Consider the following 21,560-nt stretch of genomic DNA (forward strand, 5'->3'; position numbering starts at 1 on the left):
TTGTTAATATTTTAGATGTGATAATAATATGGTTTTTTAAGTCTTTATTTTTATTGGTGAAATTATATGCTCTGGGATTTGCTTCAAAATACTATGCAATGGGGTTGGGGGTAGAGATGAAACAGAATTGGCCCTGAGTTGATAATTATTGGAGTTGGGGGATGGATACATGGAAGTTCACCACTATTCTTTCTACTATTGCATAGTTTAAAATTACCATAATGAAATGTTTTGTAAAATTAAATGCCTAATTTTTGGGTTGCACAAAATACATACTGTTTCTAATAAAAATACATAAGTAATTTGGTCCAAAATACTTTAGATATTAAGATGTAATGAATTTATTCTACTACCCATGTCTTTAATATATGTCCTTTCTGTTGAGAGAGAGGAGAGGAGAGGGGAGGGGAGGGGACGGGAGGGGAGGCAGAGAGAGAGAGATGTGTTTATTGCATAGAAAATGCTAGTAAAGTCAGTGGGTACTAATATCACTTGATCTTAGCCAAAAGGCTGAGAAGCGATAATGGCTACTAATATCAAGCCAGTTCTTAATGGTGCCAGGCAATAGTACTACATTTCCTTAATCTATTCACTTGCTCACATTCATAAATCATACTTTATCGAATCTCAGATGCCATTGATTATAAGTTGTATTATTATTTTATATACTAATAAAAAACAATGCTCCTGATTAAACTATGGAATGCCATCACTTGTAAGACAGCAATTTCACAGATGTTAAAATATGAAAAAATCATGTTTCAAAATCATCATAATACGGTATTCATCTTTTCTGTCAAGTCTAAAATACTTTCCCCCTATCTTCATTTCAGCTTCCTATTTCACTGGGAAAATAGAAGCACTCAGAACAGGGCATCCTCTTTCTCCTACCACCATATTTGTCCACCTGTTTGGATCTGTACTTATAAACTCTGCCTCCCCTTTTATTTCAATGGAGATGAATTATCCATACTCTTACTTAGAATGATCCCTGTGATTGTGTACTGGATTCCATCCCTTCTCTTCTCAAGGACATTCCTCCGAGTAACTAGCCTGTCTATCCTGAATTGTGTATTTCCCGCCTCTACTGGATCTTTTGTTTTATTTTATTAACTAATTCATTTATTTGAGACAGAGCCTCGCTCTGTCGCCCAGGCTGGAGTGCAGTGGTGTGATCTCGGCTCACTGCAACCTCTGCCTCCCGGGTTCAAGTGATTCTCCCGCCTCAGCCTCCCAGGTAGCTGGGTTTACAGGCGTCTGCCACCACGCCCGGCTAATTTTTGTATTTTTAGTAGAGACGGGGTTTCACCACGTTGGCCAGGCTGGTCTCCAACTCCTGACCTCAGGTGATCTGCCCACCTAAGCTTCCCAAAGTGCTGGGATTACAGGCGTGAGCCACTGCGCCCAGCCTAGATCCTTTTAATTAGTACATAAACTTACTATAATTTCTTCCATCTTTTTTATTTTATTTTTTTGAGACAGAGACTAGCTCTGTCGCCCATGCTGCAGTGCAGTGGCGGGATCACGGCTCACTGCAGTCTCTACTGTCTGGGCTCAAGCGATCCTCCCATCTCAGCCTCTCAAGTAGTTGGGACTTCAGGCGGGTGCCATGCCAGGCTAGTTTTTTATTTTTTGTAGAGATGAGGGTCTCACTATGTTGCCTAGGCAGTTTCAGACTCCTGGGCTCAACCAATCCTCCCACTTTGGCCTCCTGAAATGTTAGGATTACAGGCATAAGCCACCACACTCAGCCCCATCTTTGAATTAAAAAAAAAAAAAAAATTAGAACGTGGAAAAACGCAACAACAAAAGATTAACAAAATCCCTATCCCATGATAGCCTTATTTTTCTGCTCACCTTAAAAACAAAACTTCTTAAAAGTATTGCGTATATTTGCTTTCTCCATTTCCTCTCCTCCCATCCTTCCCTCCAACTCCTATCAAATTTTCATCAGACTTTATCAAACTTCCACCACTGCCAAAATGGCGTTTCAACATCACTGGTGACCATTGCTACAGTGGCCCATTCTTAATTCTCATTTTACTTGACCTATGAGCAACATTTGAGACAATGGGTCACTCCCTTCTTGAAACACTTCCTTCCCTTGGTTTTGCAGATCTAAACTCTCCTACTTTTCCATCTACTTCATGGATTATTCCTTCTCAGTCTTCTTTGTTGGATCCTCTTCACCTCTCCGACTTAACCTGGTGCATTGCTAGAAGAAACCCTGCTGAGTAAGAGCAAATTGTTTTTAGCATACCGCCGATTTTACTTTCCAGTATTTAAAAATGCTGTGTATCCTTTTAAATGAAAACGACTTAAAAAGCGTGGCTCTCAGGCTAGCAATAGAGATACCAACCCGGGAATCTCCGCACCACCCCCCAAGAGGAAGCAGCGTCTGACGTCTTCCGGAAACGAGCTCCACTGGCCTTATGGGAAATGTGGTCTCCGACGGATGGCCTACACCCGGGAGGAGTCCAGGAACTCTAGGTGGACAGTTACTTCCGCACACGCGTAGTAGGACGGTAGCCGGTATTCAATCTTCAAATCAGCGCCGCGGGAAGTGCGGGCGGGTGTTGCTCCCCTGTCTCTGGACGACGCTGTGACTGATCCCAGGCTTGGAGCCGGAGCTGCGAGCGAGGCAGTGAAAGGGTGGCAGGTATGGCTTTGCTGGACTCGGAGGACGTAAGAGAAAGGCGGGGACTGGCTTCTAGGTTTACCCTACCGAAGATAAAACTTTAGTCTCCAAGCGCAGTGACTTCAGGTTTGGATATGTGGGTCCTGTTCAACTCGAGTAGCTGAGAGAAAGCAAGAGTTGGGCTCCGACTGGCACTGGGTAGATGTCCAGGGCTCTGGTGGGACTGGGAGAGGCTCAATTTGCATTCCTGCTCTTGTAGGTCAAGGTCACTATGTAGGAGTCTGTTCATCTAACTGTACCTTTCCTGGTTCCAAGAGCATAGTTGGCCCGACTGGAGCCTGCGACAATTTTAAGCCGTGTCAAGGGATCCAGTGGAAACTGTAAGCTATTTCAAGGGATCCAGGAAGAAAGCATTCTTGAGAAACTGCTATGGATTAGAAGGGTATTCTCAGCAATCATTTGAAGTAAATGCTATTACCATTTTGCATATGAGTTAACTGAAGCTGAAAGGTGAAATTACTTGCCTGGACTCACACAGCTTAGTAAGTGGAAGAACTGAGATTCAAACTCAGATACATTTTCTCCAAATTTCTTTTTTTTTTTTTTTACAGTATAGCATTCCTGCATAAAACAGAGTTGGGTTTATTCTCCTGAAATGTTTGAGCAATGAATGCTGAGTAAATTTCGATTTGTAGTCATTTTGTAGAGTCTCTTGGTGTATCTGCAGATCTTCCAGTGCAGACTGTGTAAATGAAGATGTGAGTCCCCGGTTTGCCCATTATACCCTTTCTAGAGCCCCAGCAGTTCTAAGCTCATAGGAGATGGCGAGTTTCTACAGAGAGAAACATTTGGAGTTTAAACTGAAGGATCCAGCTTAACAAAAAAAAAATAAAAAAAAGTGTTCCTGGGTCCCTGAATCCAGCCTTCTCAAGAAAGCCCAACCTAATTTGCAATCTCTTATCCCAGCGTCAGAGTAGAAACCAGAGAATCACAGGAAGGAATCATTTTTAGACTTACGGAGCTTCAGAGACCAAGCTTTTAAGTGAGTCAACTCATTCATTATTTCTTCAGGATAAATTTCTGGGAGGAAAAAAAATAACTGTTTCAAGAGGAACCACTTGGTGCTAGATCAGTAGGACAGAAACATATAACATCCTTATCTAAGCTCCATATATTCCTAACAATCACAAGTAGAGATCTGTGCTTATGGAACATGGACTTTTCTGTCTTGCTAGAAATGTCATTCTCCCCCACTAGGTGGCATTTTCTGAGGCTGCAGTGTGGGTACTTATGGTCTGATAGAGCAGGGTTCTACTTTGCATGCAGTCCTGGTATCTCAGGTCTTTCTATTCTCTTCCCCATTTCTACTTTCATAGATTTCTGTGTAAGAGCTGCAGAAAATGATCAGCTTCCAGGTAAGGTATCCATCTATTCATCCAGTTGTTTAAATCTCCCAAAAATCCATATGATAAAAAGGAAATGTATGGTCAGGAAAAATGTAAACCAAATAAAAGATCAAGTCTAAAAGGAAATTTAGAAGATTGGTAAGTTGATATTCAAGTCATAGGGTTTGCAGATGGTTGGAACAAATTTGAGCTGCAAATGTGTACTCAGTCTTCCTGGAAATCATAGTAAATGGATAACCAGCCAGTTAAAAAGTATTGGCATTGCTGTGAAGATAAAGCAAAATTATTCTCCTTGTAAGTAAAGTTTTTCCTGACACAGTTCTTTGAAGAAAATCTTTTCTAATGAGTTTTCACATAGATAACATTAGAAATAACATTCACAGCAGCAGCCTGCGATAAATACAGCATCAGGTTTCCTATGACTTTCTTAGAGTATTCCCTAGAGTAAGAACATAGTGCCAAGCAGCACTAAATGAACTCAATTTATAAGTCCAGGTATGTGGCCTTTTTAATGCCCACCTGGATCCATAAGTAAATCTTGTACCTTTTCCAGTCTCTAGCTATCCTGAGCATTTACTCTTCTACATGAATTTTAAGGTCATCAAAATAACAAATATTGTCAAGGTTCATAAAGCAGTATGTTAGGTATTCTTTTTTTTTTTTTTTTTTTTGAGACAGTCTTGCTCTGTTGCCTAGGCTGGAGTACAATGGCGTGATCTCAGCTCACTGCAACCTCTACCTCCCAGGTTCAAGCGATTCTCCTGCCTCAACCTCCCAAGTAGCTTGGATTACAGGCATGTGCCACCACGCCCAGCTAATTTTTGTGTTTTTAGTAGAGACGGGGTTTCACCTTGTTGACCAGGCTGGTCTCGAATTCCTGACCTCAAGTGATCTGCCTGCCTCAGCCTTCCAAAGTGCTGGTAGGATTACAGTTGTGAACCACTGCGCCCGGCCAGATATTCTTATTAGGATTGCATTAAACTTAATAGGTTAATTTGGAGAGAATTCATGACTTTTCAATGAGTCCTATTTATTCAGGTTTTCTTATAGGTCTTTTATTATAATTTTTTTTTTTTTTTTTTTTTTGAGACAGAGTTTCACTCTGTTACCCAGGCTGGAGTGCAGTGGCACAATCTTGGCTTACTGCAACCTCCATCTCCTGAGTTCAAGTGATTCTCCTGCCTCAGCTTCCTGAGTAGGTGGGATTACAGGTGCCCGCCACCACGCCCGGCTAATTTTTGTATTTTTAGTAGAGACAGGGTTTCACCATGTTGGTCAGGCTGGTCTCGAACTCCTGACCTCAGGTGATCCACCCATCTCAGCCTCCCAAAGTGCTGGGATTATAGGCATGAGCCACCGCACCCGGCCCTTTTATTATAATTTTATAGGTTTTATAAGTTTCTTATTGTAATTCCTGTACATTTCTTATATTTATTCTTACATATGGTTTTAGTTGCTATTGAGAATGAGGTAGGCCTTTTTTTCATTATCTCTTCTAATTGGCTATTTTGGTAAATAGAAAAATATGGACTTCTCTTGGCTGGGCATGGTGGTTCATGCCTATATTCCCAGCACTTTGGGAGGCTAAGGTGGGAGGATTGCTTGAGGCCAGGAGTTCAAGACCAGCCTGGGCAATATAGCAAGACCCCATCTCTAGAAAAAAAAAATTAATTAGCATGGCATGATGGCACACACCTGTAGTTCCAGCTACTAGGTAGGCTAGGGCAGGAGGATCTGTTGAGCCTAGAAGATCAAGGCTATAGCTAGCTATGGTCACAGCACTGCACTCTAGCCTGGGTGACCCTGTCTCTGAAGAAAAGAAAAGATGGATTTCTCTATGTTGAATTTATATCCAGCCAATGTACAGAACTCTTGTTAGATCTAAGAGTTCTTTAGTTGATTCTTCTATTTCTTAGGTAGACAATCATACATTCCAAATGGAGTTTTATCTCTTCCTGCCCAATATTTATACCTTCCCCCATATTTTCCTTGTCTCATTGCAATGGCCAGGACTTCTAGTCACTGCAGTTTTGAATAAACAGCCATCCTGTGGTATCCATGGGAGACTGGTTGCAGAACTCCTGCAGATCCCCAAATCTGAACATAATGAAGTCCCACAGTACAGTTGGCCCTGTGGAACTTAAGGATAGGAAAAGTTGGCCATCCATATTCATGGGTTTTGCATGGCAAGAATACTGTATTTTTTTTTATCTGCATTTGGTTGTAGATGCAGAACCTGCCAACCAAGGGCCAACTATATTCATTGCAAAAAAATCTGAGTATAAGTGGAACCAGGCAGTTCAAACCTGTGTTGTTCAGGGATTAACTGTAATTGCTAGCCAGAAGTCTTTTTTGTCCTAATTTTAATGGGAGTGCTCCCAGTGTTTCACCGTTTCCTCTTGTATTCTAGTAGATAGTTGTTTTTTTTTTATTTTGTTTTTAATCAAGTTAAGGATTTTTAACTTGCAAAGATTATTTTAATAACTAGGGACTTTTGGCCTCATACCCTTTTTTAAAATAGCTGTCAGTAATATAATATATCTTGCCACCCTTAATATACCAGTTTAGAGAATTTTCAGTGCATTTCCCAGTACTGAACTATCTATACATTCCTGGAATAAACCCTTCCTAGTCCTAACTTTTTCATAAAGGGTGAGATAGTAAATATTTTAGATTTGAAGGTCATACAGCCTCTGTGGCAACTACTCAACTCTGTCCTTGAAGCTGAAGTAAATGAATGAGTGTGACTATGTTTCAATAACATTCTGTTTACAAAAACAGGAGGCCAGTCCATGGGTTACAGTTTCCTAATCCCTGCTGACAATGGTCTTAACTATCTCTTTTGTGGTAGATATGTAACTACTTGTCTTTAATTTCGGTGCTTTTAACATTTATCCATTAAACATGATTTTGGAATTATGGTTAAAAGGACATATTTTAGCCGGGTGCAGTGGCTCACGCCTGTAATCCCAGCACTTTGGGAGGCTGAGGCGGGCAGATCACGAGGTCAGGAGATCGAGACCATCCTGGCTAACATGGTGAAACCCCGTCTCTACTAAAAATACAAAAAAATTAGCCGGGCATGGTGGCGGGCGCCTGTAGTCCCAGCTACTCAGTAGGCTGAGGCAGGAGAATGGCATGAACCCGGGAGGTGGAGCTTGCAGTGAGCCGAGATCGCACCACTGCACTCCAGGCTGGGTGACAGAGCGAGACTCCGTCTCACAAAAAAAAAAAAAAGAAAAAAAAAAGGACATATTTTATCATGTAAAAGTATCCATGTGTTCCTATTTTATTATGCTTACATGCATCTGGCATGTAAACCTTACAGTCTCAGTAACATCTTTTTTTTTTTTTTTATACTTTAAGTTTTAGGGTACATGTGCACAATGTGCAGGTTAGTTACATATGTATACATGTGCCATGCTGGTGCGCTACACCCACTAACTCGTCATCTAGCATTAGGTATATCTCCCAATGCTATCCCTCCCCCCTCCCCCCACCCCACAACAGGCCCCAGAGTGTGATGTTCCCCTTCCTGTGTCCATGTGTTCTCATTGTTCATTTCCCACCTATGAGTGAGAATATGCAGTGTTTGGTTTTTTGTTCTTGCGATAGTTTACTGAGAATGATGATTTCCAATTTCATCCATGTCCCTACAAAGGACATGAACTCATCATTTTTTATGGCTGCATAGTATTCCATGGTGTATATGTGCCACATTTTCTTAATCCAGTCTATCATTGTTGGACATTTGGGTTGGTTCCAAGTCTTTGCTATTGTGAATAATGCCGCAATAAACATACGTGTGCATGTGTCTTTATAGCAGCATGATTTTTATTCCTTTGGGTATATACCCAGTAATGGGATGGCTGGGTCAAATGGTATTTCTAATTCTAGATCCTTGAGGAATCGCCACACTGACTTCCACAATGTTTGAACTAGTTTACAGTCCCACCAACAGTGTAAAAGTGTTCCCATTTCTCCACATCCTCTCCAGCACCTGTTGTTTCCTGACTTTTTAATGATTGCCATTCTAACTGGTGTGAGACAGTCTCAGTAACATCTTATGGCACTTACGTTTACTTTGTAGAGTCTAATAGAGTGTAAGATCCCTGAGAGGAGTAATAATTTTATTTCTTTTGATATCTCCAGTATAGGGTTGGTAGAGCCTCATTAAATATTTTATAAGTGAACAAATAAGAATATGTAAGTGATATTTTTAAATAGCTTTATTGAAATATAATTATCATACCACAAAAGTGACCCAATTAAAGTATATACAGTCAGCCAGGTGCAGTGGCTCATACCTGTAATCCCATCACTTTGGGAGGCCAAGGTGGGCGGATCACTTGAGGTCAGGAGTTAGAGACTATCCTGGCCAACATGGTGAAACTCCGTCTCTACTAAAAGTACAAAAAAAATTAGCCAGGTGTGGTGGTGCATACCTGTAGTCCCAGCTACTCAGGAGGCTGAGGCATGAGAATCACTTGAACCTGAGAGACAGAGGCCACAGTGAGCCAAGATCACACTACTGCACTCCAGCCTGGGCGACAGAGCAAGACTCCGTCTCAAAAAAAAAAAATAACAATTGTATACAATTCAGTGGTTTTTTAGTGTATTCACAGAGTTGTACAGCCATCACCACTATCTAATTTCAGAACATTTTCATCACCCTAAAAGCAATTCCATACCCTAATTAGCAGTCACTACTCATTCCTCCCTTTCCCTAGCACTAATCTACTTTCTCTTTCTATGGCTTTTCTCTTCTGAACATTTCATACAAATGGAACCATGAAATATGTAATCTTTCATGACTGGCTTCTTTCACCCAATACAATAGTTTCCTATTTTTCTTTTTTATTTATTTATTTTTTTGAGGCAGGGTCTCACTGTGTTGTAGCTTCAACCTCCCAGCCTCAAACAGTTCTCCCACCTCAGTCTCCCAAGTAGCTGGGACTACAGGTCCATGCCACCATACCCAGCTAATTTTTTTTTATTTTTGTAGAGACTGAGTCTTGGTATGTTGTCCAGGCTGGTCTCAAACTCCTGGGCTCAAGTGATCTGCCTACCTCAGCCTCCCAAAGTGCTGGGATTACAGGTGAGAGGCATGACACCTGGCCCCATACAGTATTTTCAAGGTTCATCCATGTTGTAGATGTACCAGTGCTTGATTCCTCTTTTATTGCCAAATAATATTCCATCATATGGATATACCACATTTTCTTTATCCATTTATCAGTTCATGGACACCAGATTATTCCACTTTTTTGACTATGAATAACTCTTACTATGAACATTTGTCTGTGGGTTTTTGTGTGGACAAATGTCTTGAATTCTCGTGGGTATATACCTAGGAGGGGATTGCTGGGTTATATGGTTACTCTATGTTTAACACTTGGAGAAGGCTGGGTGCAGTGGCTCATGCCTGTAATCCCAGCACTTTGGGAGGCTGAGGCGGGTGGATCACTTGAGGTCAGGAGTTTGAGAGCAGCCTGGCCAATGTGGTAGAACCCCGTTTCTACTAAAAATACAAAAATCAGTGATGTGCACCTATAATCCCAGTTACTCAGGAGGCTGAGGCAGGAGAATTGCTTGAACCCGGGAGGCCCCACTGCACTCCAGCGTGGGTGACAGAGTGAGACTCCATCTCAAAAAACAAACAAACAAACAAACAAACACTCGGAGGAACTGCTAAACTCTTTTCCATAGTTACATGGAACTGCGTATGGAACTATGGATTACAGGTAGCTCATGCCTGTAATCCCAGCCTTTGGGAGGCTGAAGCAGGAAGATCACTTGAAGCCAGGAGTACAAGAGCAGTCTGGGCAATGTAGTGAGACCCCATCTCTAAAAATATATGTATATATATTTTTTTGAGACAGAGTCTTACTCTGTCACCCAGGCTGGAGTGCAGTGGCGCAATCTCGGCTCACTGCAACCTCCGCCTCTCGGGTTCAAGCAATTCTCCTGCCTCAGCCTCCTGAGTAGCTGAGACTACAGGCGCATGCCACCACACCCGGCTGATTTTTTGTATTTTTAGTAGAGACGGAGTTTCACCATGTTAGCCAGGATGGTCTCGATCTCCTGACTTCGTGATCCACCTGCCTCGGCCTCCCAAAGTGTTGGGATTACAGGCATGAGCCACTGCACCTGGCCTCCAAAAAATATTTTTTTAATTGCCTGGGTGTGGTGGCATGTGCCTGTAGGCCCAGCTACTTGAGAGGCTGAGGTAGGAAGATCGCTTGAGTCCAGGAGTTGGGTGCTACAATGACCCCTGATTGCACCACTCCACTCCATTCCAGCCTGGGTGACACAGCAAGACCCTATATCAAATAAAAGAAAAGAAAAAAGAAAAAACGTCGTTGCTGCACCATTTTGCAATCCCAGTGTACAGGAGTTGAGTAACGTACAAGAGTTTCGGTTTCTCCACATCCTTGCCAACACAGGTCATTGTCTGCGTTTGATTTTAACTGTCCTCATAGAAGTGAAATGCTGTCTCATTATGGTTTCGATTTGCATTTCACTAATGACTAATAATTAATGATTTTGAGAATCTTTTTTCTTTTTATTTTTTTTTCTTTCTTGCTTCAGTTTCAGACCCTAATGTTGAGCATCTTTTCATGGGCTTATTTACTATACACATACCAACACAGATACATAGATACATACATATATCTATGTCTATATCTATATATAGATATATAGATATATCTTTGGAGAAATGTCTCTAAATCCTTTGCCCATTTTTAAATTGTGTTGTCTGTTTATTGTTGATTTTTTTCTCCCCTCCCCCTATTGTTGAATTTTAAGAGTTACTTATATATTCTAGATACAAGCCTCTTATCAGATATATGATTTGCAAATATTTTCTCCCATTCTGTGGATTTTCTTTTCACATTCTTGGCAGTGTCCTATGGAGCACAGAAGTTTTAATTTTGATGAATTCCTATTTATTTTTTATTTTGTCACTTCCACTTTTTCTGTCATATTTCACAAATCACTGCCTAATCCAAGGTCACAAAAAACTTTTTTTCTGTTTTCTTCTAACTGTTTGATAGCTTTGTTTCTTACTTTTAGCTCTCTGGTCCATTTTAGTTCATTTTCTTATATGATGTAAAATGGATGGGGAGTTCAGTGTCATACTTTTGCATGTGGATGTCTAGTGGTCTCAGTACCATTTGTTGAAAAGACTTTTTTTTCCCCTGTTGAACTGTTCTGGCACCAGTTGGATATGTTTAATAAGATTTTTCTTACTATCACAAAGCATATTTCCGAATCAAGCATGTAATCATTATAACTGATTTTCTACAAACTCAACAGTGAACATGATATGATATTAAGGAGCTGCCTTGATTCTCTTGCAAGTTCGCTAGTGATACACACTTTAGTTTGAAGATAAATGTGCTGTTACAGGAATCAGTGACATTCCAGGATGTGGCTGTGGATTTCACTGCAGAGGAGTGGCAGCTGCTTGATTGTGCTGAGAGAACCCTGTATTGGGATGTGATGTTGGAGAACTATAGAAACCTCATCTCAGTGGGTAAGGACAATGAGTGGTAACTTTTCAGTGTAATTCAGTGTATACTAATAGTGCTCATTTTTTAAGACTTGGGAACGTTTGCCAATTGTGGTCGCTCATGCTTATAATCCCAGCACTTTGGGAGGCAGGAGAATTGCTTGAGCCCAGGATTTCAAGACCAGCCTGAGCAACGTTGTGAGACTGTCTCAACAAAATTTAGCTAGGTGTGGTGGTACATGCCTGTTGTCCCAGCTACTTGGGAGGCTGAGGTGGAAGGATCGCTTGAGCCTAGGTGTACCACTGCATTCCAGCCTGGGTGACAGAGTGAGACCCTATCTCAAAAAAAAAAAAAAAAAAAAATCGTATGAAAACTGTGAGCATTCTGAAGCATTAATCAGCTGGGCCCTACATTTTAGTTGTCAAAGATTCTGAGTCCCCTCTGAGCTTCACGTAGTCTGCTTATTCTTCTCCTTCCCAGATGGAGGAGAAGGGTCTGTTCTGTTTTTTTTTTTTTTGGAGGGGGGAAGGAGTCTCGCTCTGTCACCCAGGCTGAAGTGCAGTGGTGCAATCTCGGCTTCACCTCCCAGGTTCACGTCATTCTCCTGCCTCAGCCTCCCGAGTAGCTGAGACTACAGGTGCCTGCTACCACGCCCGGCTAATTTTTTGTATTTTTAGCAGAGACAGGGTCTCACTGTGTTAGCCAGGATGGTCTCGATCTCCTGACCTCATGATCCGCCCGCCTCAGCCTTCCAAAGTGTTCGGATTACAGGCGTGAGCCACCGCGCCCAGCCTGGGTCTGTTCTGTTTTAAAGGCTGCTTGTTATCCTTTAAAAATCCTGAGACTCAAGGAGGTAACCCAAGTTGTGAGCTGGTTGTTTGCCTAGCACTTTGGCCCCACTTCTATGCTGTTTTCCCACCAACAGGATGTCCAATTACCAAAACAAAAGTGATCCTCAAGGTAGAGCAAGGACAAGAGCCATGGATGGTGGAGGGAGCGAATCCACACGAGAGCTCTCCAGGTGAGTGAGAGAAATTCAGATGGGGCTGTGTGGAGTTGAGATCCCCATTGGTCAGTGAGGGACAGGAAGTTCTGAAATACTCTTAGAAGCACCTCTTAAAAGCCACACACCTTTAACATAACATCATCAGCCAGCTCCCCAAAAGCTGCCTTCACCCTCATTCTCCCCACACGTGCCCTTTCTCTTTGCTCAGCTGTTGTATGGAGGGTTGTCCCTCTCCTGTCTCCTCAGGCTTCTCACACTGCCTGTTTCATCTAGGTCCTTGCTTTGTTTATGTTCTCTTAATTCCTAAAACCCTCATTATTCTTCCCTTCTCAACATCGATCTTTTTCTATATACGTAGTCCTTATAATGAAGTTAAATTATCTGAATTTGAGGCGTTACTCTACCAATCACTGTCTAACCTTAAGCAGATTATTTTGTAGCATAATTTTCTTTATTTATAAAATAGGAACATTAATCCTTACCTCAGGTTTCCTGTAAAGATTATATGAGGTAATACATGCAAAACACTTCAAATAGTTGGCAGATAGTAAATGTTCAGTATATGCTAATTATTTTTTTCAAAACTTTTAGGTACATCATGTTCTATTTTATTTTCCTTTTGTTTTTTCTTTAACTTATTCCTTTTCTTGCATCATAAATCCCATCTTGCATCTTTCTTCTCCCTGATAATTTGGGATATGTCTTGTAGCGCAACTTTCTGTTTCACTTGGTAATATTGATAACTTTTTGAAATTCCCCTCCAGCTTTTTGTTGTCTTACTAATCTGTTCTCACCCTTTCTTACTGCTTATTCACCTTTTGCTCAGGCCTTCTCTTCCATCTTCTTGACTTCTCTCTACAATAACTCCCTCAGAAGCCTCATCACTCTGAAAACTAAAGTTACTTGTTTTATGCCAACTCTAGCATCTTTGCCTCACCAACTTTTCATTCCCATAATTTTACTCTACCTGGCCTTCATGGTAACTAATTTTTTTATTTCTTCAATTGTCACCCTTAGCTTTATATCACAATAAATAATAATGAATGGCCCCCTGCTTTGCAGTCTCAAAACCACTGCATTAAGCAATTTGATTTTTTTCCTGTCAATAGTTTCTCCTTAAATATGATACTAACTTATGGCCTATGATTTCAGCGATTAGTTTATTCAAGACTGATTCAAAATTAAATTTTCCCTTTCTGCAGAGTTCACAAAAGAACTCTTTCAAATGATTGACATATCTTTCAAATGATTGACACCAATTAAATATATTTCAGATTCCCTGGGACCCCAACTTCTGTTGACATAAACCAAATGACTTTTTTTTTAGAGACAGGGTCTTACTCCATCACCCAGGCTGGAGTGCAGTGATGCCATCATAGCTCACTGCAGCCTTGAACTCCTGGCCTCAAGCAAGTCTCCTGCCTCAGCTTCCCAAGCAGCTGGGACCACAGGCACATGCCACAGTCCTCAGCTGAATTTTAATTACTGATATTGTATCTAGACTGTTTATGTTACTGTTTTACAAATTACATTCTATTTTCTAGTTTACATTAGATATTTCTACAAGATTTATCCAAATTATTCTATTTCTGTTGTTGCTCTCCTGAAAAATGTAAATTATCCCCTTTATAACCTGTGTTGTGATATTTAAATGGCTTTTAATGTCCTCTATAACATGGTCCCATTTTACTTACCCAGAATTATCCATCTTTTTTTTATTCCATGGAAATTGGCCTTTTTAATGTCCACTATATACAGTTTTCTTTTTTTTTTTTTTTCGAGACAGAGTCTTGCTCTGTTGCCCAGGCTGGAGTGCAGTTGCGAGATCTGGGCTCACTGCAAGCTCCGCCTCCCGGGTTCACGCCATTCTCCTGCCTCAGCCTCCCGAGTAGCTGGGACTACAGGTGCCCACCACCACACCCAGCTAATTTTTGGTACTTTTAGTAGAGACGGGGTTTCACCACGTTAGCCAGGATGGTCTCGGTCTCCTGACCTCATGATCCTCCCGCCTTGGCCTCCCAAAGTGCTGGGATTACAGGCGTGAGCCACCTCGCCCAGCTTATATACCGTTTTCTTCTCTGCATCAATCCTTCTGATTCTGGTCTGTTCCTAAAACCAGCATTTTCTTAAGTCTGATTTCAGCTTTTCCTCTTTCATTGTAACTCCAGTCTAAATTAATCTTCACTTTCTTTGAACTCCCAAGCCAATTCTATTATGACTCTGTCATGAAAAATTTACATATACTGTCTTGGATATATTTTTTTAATGCATGTGGCTTTTAAGGCCTGTTTTCTTTTTCTTTTTTTTTTTATGATAGTGCCTGAAGAGAATGACCTGTTTTATGCAGAGCACATCATGGTATCCAATGAATATTTTATTAATTTATTGTTATAGAGCCAGACATTGTGGGGGATGTTTCTTTTTTTATTTTTCTTTTTTTTCAGTATCCCTGTCATAGCAATGTGGGAGATGTTTCTTATTCTTCCATTCAACAAGGCTTTTAAAAATGTTACCTGAAAAGGTTCAAAGGAAGCAAAAATCTCATTACCATTTTCTAACTTATGAAAGGTAGTTGGAACAGCAAAACATGTTCATATTAAAATATTTTCCCTGGTGGTTTAGTGGTTAGGAAAACAATATATAAATAAAAAGTAAAAGTTTTGTTTTCTTGTTGTTGTTTGTTTGTCTTTTTTTGAGACAGAGTCTCGCTCTGTCGCCAGGCTGGAGTGCAGTGGCGCAATCTCAGCTCGGGTTCAAGTGATTCTCCTACCTCAGCCTCCCGAAGAGCTGGAACTACAGGCGCCCGCCACCATGCCTGGCTAATTTTTGTATTTTTAGTAGAGACACGGTTTCACCATGTTGGCCAGGATGGTCTTGATCTCTTGACCTTGTGAGCCACCCGCCTTGGCCTCCCAAAGTGCTGGGATTACAGGTGTGAGCCACCGTGCCTGGCCCAAAAATAAAGTATTTTAAAATTCAACAAACGAGTATGAAACATTTCTTCAATGCACATTAACATTGCAGTTTTGTTCTAATTAACTGTCAAAATGACAGACAGCAGCAGTGACTATCTTAGAAATTCATAGAAAATGGAGCTTAAAGTTTAAAGTATGCAAAATTTGGAGAAGTCTTTTTTTTGAGGTCATGGAACAGTGGTTCCTCCCTAAAGAGTATCTAAGTTCTAGATAGGACGAGAGGAGATAAGGGGGGGTGCAAATGAAGGTGGACAACGAACATGAGCAAAAGATTGAATTTAGGAATCTAGAATCCATGGAGTAGAAGGTATTTGTTGAGGACTAGTGAAATGCATGCTTCCCATGAGTGAATTCATATCTTGCATAATTTTGTTTGCCAGGCTGATTATGTTGAATTTTTCAGTGGATTATTGTTGGTAGAGGTAATGCAAGATGCTGCTTCCCATCGGTTGAAATAGAGCGGAAAGAAGAAAGGAACCAAATCCCCAGAGTCAGAACCACTCTATAAAGAAATGTGTACCAATGGCTGTAGCCCACTACTCAGTCTAGCTCCGCAGAGAATAAGGCATAGAGAAAGAGGCTTGGAGTATTGTACTAACACTCCACATGGAGGAAAACTTAAGCGTGGGGAATTATGACCCCCTCTCCCCAATTTTTTTTTGATGGGAACAGATTTGGGATTTATAGTGTTTTGAGGATAGTGAAAAAATGTGAATTCAAGAGCAAAGCAGCTTGCTGAAGACTGGTTTGTTAGATTGAAAGAGGATGTAAAAAGAGTATTTGCCAAATAGAAGTATGACAGGTATTTTTCATATATAGAAACTCAGCCAGAATAAAAAAATAATAGCAAATAGACAGAATCTGTTTGCTGTTATTATCCCAAGCTAAGGATGACTTACGCTTGGATGACTTGCTGGACATTTGTGTTCCTGGGCTTACAAGTACAGGTACAAATGAATTCTAGCTCTCAGTAGAGCTGGAGCCATGACTACAGACATGCTTCAGCTGTGGTTTGCTTGGGGTTAGAGGACTGGAGATTTGAGAATGTTTCTAAAGGAAACTGATACTGTGCAGAATGATTAAGAGGAAAAAGGCACAAGTGAGAGAAATAGGGAATTATCCTACCAATGTTGTCTAGAAATTAATTATGTAGTGATTTATATAACTCTGCCTGTTACCACCTCCTCCAAACCTAGTCTGTTCTCTGATATTTTCCCTTAATCCCTTTGCCTTTGTCTCCTTTTCTTTTTTTTTTTTTTTTTTTTTTTTTGGAGATGGAGTCTCGCTCCATCACCAGGCTGGAGTACAATGGCGTGATCTCGGCTCACCACAACCTCCACCTCCCAGGTTCAAGCAATTCTCCTGCCACAGCCTCCTGAGTAGCTGGGACTACAGGCATGTGCCACCACACCCGGCTAATTTTTGCATTTTTAGTAGAGACCAGGTTTCACCATGTTGGCCAGGATAGTCTTGATCTCTTGACCTCATGATCTGCCCGCCTCGGCCTGCCAAAGTGCTGGGGTTACAGGCGTGAGCCGCCATGCCTGGCCTATCTCCTGTGTGTTTGGTTGTCCTATCCATTAATCAGATCTCCACAATGGGTCTTCTTCATTTTATGAGCTAACCCTGCACCCTCGTTGAGCAGCCTTTTGACTTCCTTCGTACCCTCACTCTACCTTGTGCCTAATTTACTGTCTTTCCACAGGTCACAAGTTAAGGCATCTGCTCCCATTCCCTCTTCAGCAGTTTTATTCTTAAAGCTCAGGAGGAGTGAGGCAAATATAAGATTTCTTTCAGAATGAGATACTGTATTTGAAATTATAGACGTTTTTCTCTATAGCATGTTGATGGGAAAAAGTAACTAGGAATGTTTTGTTGTACTCCTTTTTAGAATCTGACTACCCACTTGTTGATGAACCAGGGAAGCATCGGGAAAGCAAAGACAATTTTTTGAAGTCAGTTTTGCTCACATTCAATAAAATTCTGACTATGGAGAGAATCCACCATTATAATATGAGCACAAGTCTTAATCCAATGAGAAAAAAATCATATAAATCGTTTGAGAAGTGTTTGCCACCTAATTTAGACTTACTTAAATATAATAGAAGTTATACTGTAGAAAACGCTTATGAATGCAGTGAATGCGGGAAAGCCTTCAAAAAGAAGTTTCATTTCATTAGACATGAAAAAAATCATACAAGGAAAAAACCTTTTGAATGCAATGACTGTGGAAAAGCCTATAGCAGGAAGGCACACCTTGCAACTCATCAGAAAATTCATAATGGAGAGAGACCCTTTGTGTGCAATGATTGTGGGAAGGCGTTTATGCATAAAGCCCAACTCGTGGTCCACCAGAGACTTCACACTGGAGAGAAGCCTTATGAGTGCAGTCAATGTGGGAAAACATTCACTTGGAACTCCTCATTTAATCAACACGTGAAATCTCATACACTTGAGAAGTCATTTGAATGTAAGGAATGTGGGAAAACCTTCAGGTATAGTTCATCCCTTTATAAACATTCCAGATTTCATACAGGAGAGAAACCCTACCAGTGTATCATATGTGGCAAAGCTTTTGGCAACACATCCGTGCTTGTTACACACCAAAGAATTCATACAGGAGAGAAACCTTACAGTTGTATTGAATGTGGCAAAGCCTTCATCAAGAAGTCCCATCTCCTCAGACATCAGATAACTCATACAGGAGAGAAGCCCTATGAATGTAACAGATGTGGGAAAGCATTTTCCCAGAAGTCAAATCTTATTGTACATCAGAAAATTCATACATAATATTCACTTTATGAATATGAGAAGGCCTTATTAAATATTTGCTAAATCTTATTAAATACTAAAGAATTCATGGTGAGAAGTCTACAATTTAAATGAATTTGGAAGAGTAGATTCCCATAAAAAACAACCAATGCCAATCATGTTCTGGAAGTGATAATAAACTTTTTACAGAAAATATGACAGAAAACAACTATAAATAATAGAGCATAAAGCTTGGAAAGTAAGCATAACTTAAAAAATCAAAGAACCAGTGAAAACTACATTTGCCATTCCTGACTTTTAATTTTTATAATAAAATAATTATGCAAGTGTGAGTTTAAAATATATGCTTATACATTATATTAAAGTATGCCTATTAACAGTTTCTGCAGTAAATAACATTTTTTCTTCCAGTCTCAACATACATAATTAATCAAGTGAGAAAATGTGTTTTAATATGTCATATGAATTTCAGTGATATTTTCATCCATTTGCTGGCACTTTTAATGGGCATGACAGTGTTTCTGAATCTGAGTCTCCTTTAATTATACAAGTGAAGACTTCTTATTAAAATTAATATAAAGATATTTTCCTATGTATGTAAATACCAGAACAAAAAACAAGACACTAATTGAGGAGAGAAAGGCACTTGTATTCTGTATTACAGTAAGTATTCAGTTGAGGAAAAGAATTATTTAAATATGTAAATAAATAATTTGCACTTCAAATATTTCTGTTTTGCTTTTTCATTGATATATCTACGTAAGCTGTAAGGATAGCTTAAGTGGTTTTGTGTTTTTTGTTTTTCTTTTTTTTTGAGACAGAGTCTCACTCTTCCCCGCAGGCTGGAGTGCAGTGGTGTGATCTCGGCTCACTGCAACCTCTGTTGCCTGGGTTCAAGCGATTCTCCTGCTTCAGCCTCCTGAGTGGCTGGGACTACAGGCGCATGCCACCACACCTGGCTAATTTTTGTATTTTTAGTAGAGACAGGGTTTTGCTATGTTGGCCAGGATGGTCTCGAACTCCTGACTTCGTGATCTGCCCACCTCGGCCTCCCGAAGTGCTGGGATTATAGGCGTGAGCCACTGCGTCCGGCCAGCTTAAGTGGCATTTAACTGGGGCATCATCTGTATTTTATTTTAATTAAGTAGGGTCTCATGATACTTTGCAACTTTTGGGGAGAGAGTTTTGGGGATTTTGTTGTTTTGTTTGTTTGTTTGAGGCGGAGTCTCACTCTGTCACCCAGGCTGGAGTGCAGTGGCGCAATCTTGGCTTACTGCAAGCTCCGCCTCCTGGGTGCACGCCATTCTCCTGCCTCAGCCTCCCGAATATCTGGAACTACAGGCGCCTGCCACCAGGCCTGGCTAATTTTTTTTTTTTTTTTTTTGTATTTTTAGTAGAGACGGGGTTTCACCACGTTAGCCAGGATGGTCTCGATCTCTTGACCTCGTGATCCTCCTGCCTCAGTCTCCCAAAGTGCTGGGATTACAGGCGTGAGCCACCATGCCCGGCCTGTTTTTGTATTTTTAGTAGAGATGGGGTTTCACCATGTTAGCCAGGATGGTCTCGATCTCCTGACCTCGTGATCTGCCCACCTCGGCCTCCCAAAGTGCTGGGATTACAGGCGTGAGCCACCATGCCTGGCCTTTTGTTGTTTTATAGAGACAAGGTCTCACCCTGTTCCTGAGTCTTGAGTGCAATGGCACAATCATAGCTCACCGTAACCTTGAACTCCTGGGTTTAAGCATTCCTCCTACCTCAGCCTCTTAAGTAGCGAAGACGACAGGTGCAAGCCACCACACCTGGCTAATTTTTTATTTTTTGTAGAGAAGGTGTCTCACTATGTTGCCTAGGCTGGTCTTGAACTCCTGGCCTCTAGTGATCCCCCTGCCTCTCATCCCCCTTCAGCCTCCCAAAGCACTGGGATTACAGGGATTTTTTTTTTTTTTTTTTTTTGAGAAGTCAAAACATGTTTAGCCCCGAAGATGCCTGGAATTTTCCGTATGAACAGCATAGGCATCATTAATGAAGATGAAAACTTGTTAGAAAAGAGCAAGTTTTTCTGCTTAGCAACTTTGGAATATGACATTTTGTAAGTTCTACATATTCCCTTCAAGGATTAATTAGCCATTATTTAAAGTTTTCTTGCTGTCCACAGTATTCCTTGGTAATGCCAAAAAACTTATATGTCTTTCTTGAGTGGTGACAAAACTTAGACTTGAACCTAAATTCAGAAATCAAGCCTTTTAAGTTTAAGCTCAGTTACAATTATGTTGCATTGTTTTCTTTCATTAGCCATTTTTTGAAAGAGTAGTGTTGGGTAATAACCATAAACGATAGTGCTTTTTTGAATAAGCATACTGGGACTTTAAAGACCTAAATTAAATCTTGTCTTTCTAAGTTATTTTAGGAGGCTATATGCTAATTTCACTTATGAGGTCATTCCAAAATTTCTGGAACCTTCTTTTCATGGAGTTGTCTTCAAAATCAGTATGCCATCCACACAGGAAAATCTTGGTATTTATAGTCGCAGTACTTGCCTTTTTTCAGCTCAGGAGTTTTCTGTCATTTCCTACATGAAGTCCTCACTTCAGCCTATGTAGTGCTTACCATTTCCATTCTCTCTCCTTCCCCGGCCTGTAACCCTCATCTGAGAAACTCCAAACTACACAGATAAAGGAAGAGAGATAGGGGGCAGGAGGCTCCACTGTTGCTGCATGGTATGAGATGCCCCTGAAAGAGCAGCTATGTAGGTCAAGGTGGCAAGAAGTGTGCAATAGTCTGCTCCAGCTTACCGGAAATAAAATATAGCCAGGACATTTAAATTGTAATATATCAGGATGTATCTGGTTTCATAATTTTGTTTGCTCCCATACAAATGAATTCTACCTAGAAATCGAGTGGGATAATTTTCTGCAAATATGCCTTAGCTGTACTTTGGATGGAGTCAGAGGCTGAGGCTATGAGAAGGTGCCTATAATAAGAGGGAGTTAGTGGCTGACAATTTGCTTGGTGGTTGTGTGCAAGATAAGTAAGAGGGGAAAGACCAGTGTATGAAGGAGACTAAGGAAAATCCTAACAGGACAATTTAATATTTGGAAATTGTGAACCTTGACTCTGATCGAACTCCAAACCAATTCACCTCCTCTCATTTCCCCATCATGCCTTTATCTCCTTGTTCTGATTACCCTCCTCATTCATTCTTCTGAGATGGCTTACCCGATTCTCAGAGTTCACCCCGCATCCTTG

At 40.7% G+C, this 21,560-nt stretch overlaps 1 protein-coding gene and 1 long non-coding RNA gene across 2 annotated transcripts, besides 1 other annotated feature; one reads left to right on the forward strand and one right to left on the reverse strand.

Annotated features, from left to right (window-relative positions):
• Positions 1 to 1,449: 1,449 nt before the first annotated feature.
• On the reverse strand, positions 1,450 to 2,418 carry LOC124904149 (uncharacterized). The gene is made up of 2 exons (XR_007066022.1): positions 2,360 to 2,418; positions 1,450 to 2,227 (listed from the first exon to the last, which is right to left on the reverse strand). It is a non-coding gene; the product is annotated as an uncharacterized LOC124904149 (long non-coding RNA).
• Positions 2,309 to 2,603: an enhancer, noted in NCBI's record as "tiled region #98; HepG2 Activating DNase unmatched - State 1:Tss, and K562 Activating DNase unmatched - State 1:Tss". NCBI's record gives its function as "activates a minimal TATA promoter and a strong SV40 promoter by Sharpr-MPRA in HepG2 and K562 cells {active_cell/tissue: HepG2 | K562}" and the evidence as "EXISTENCE:reporter gene assay evidence [ECO:0000049][PMID:27701403]".
• ZNF684 (zinc finger protein 684) lies at positions 2,509 to 19,039 on the forward strand. Its single transcript, NM_152373.4, has 5 exons — positions 2,509 to 2,659; positions 4,015 to 4,053; positions 11,458 to 11,584; positions 12,487 to 12,582; positions 17,434 to 19,039. Exons 2-5 carry the CDS (start codon positions 4,039 to 4,041, stop codon positions 18,330 to 18,332), a joined length of 1,137 nt encoding a protein of 378 aa, NP_689586.3. The 5' UTR covers positions 2,509 to 2,659; positions 4,015 to 4,038; the 3' UTR covers positions 18,333 to 19,039.
• The last annotated feature ends 2,521 nt before the right edge of the window (positions 19,040 to 21,560 follow it).

The sequence above is a fragment of the Homo sapiens genome, chromosome 1, assembly GCF_000001405.40.
Source record: "Homo sapiens chromosome 1, GRCh38.p14 Primary Assembly".
Lineage (NCBI taxonomy): Eukaryota > Metazoa > Chordata > Mammalia > Primates > Hominidae > Homo > Homo sapiens.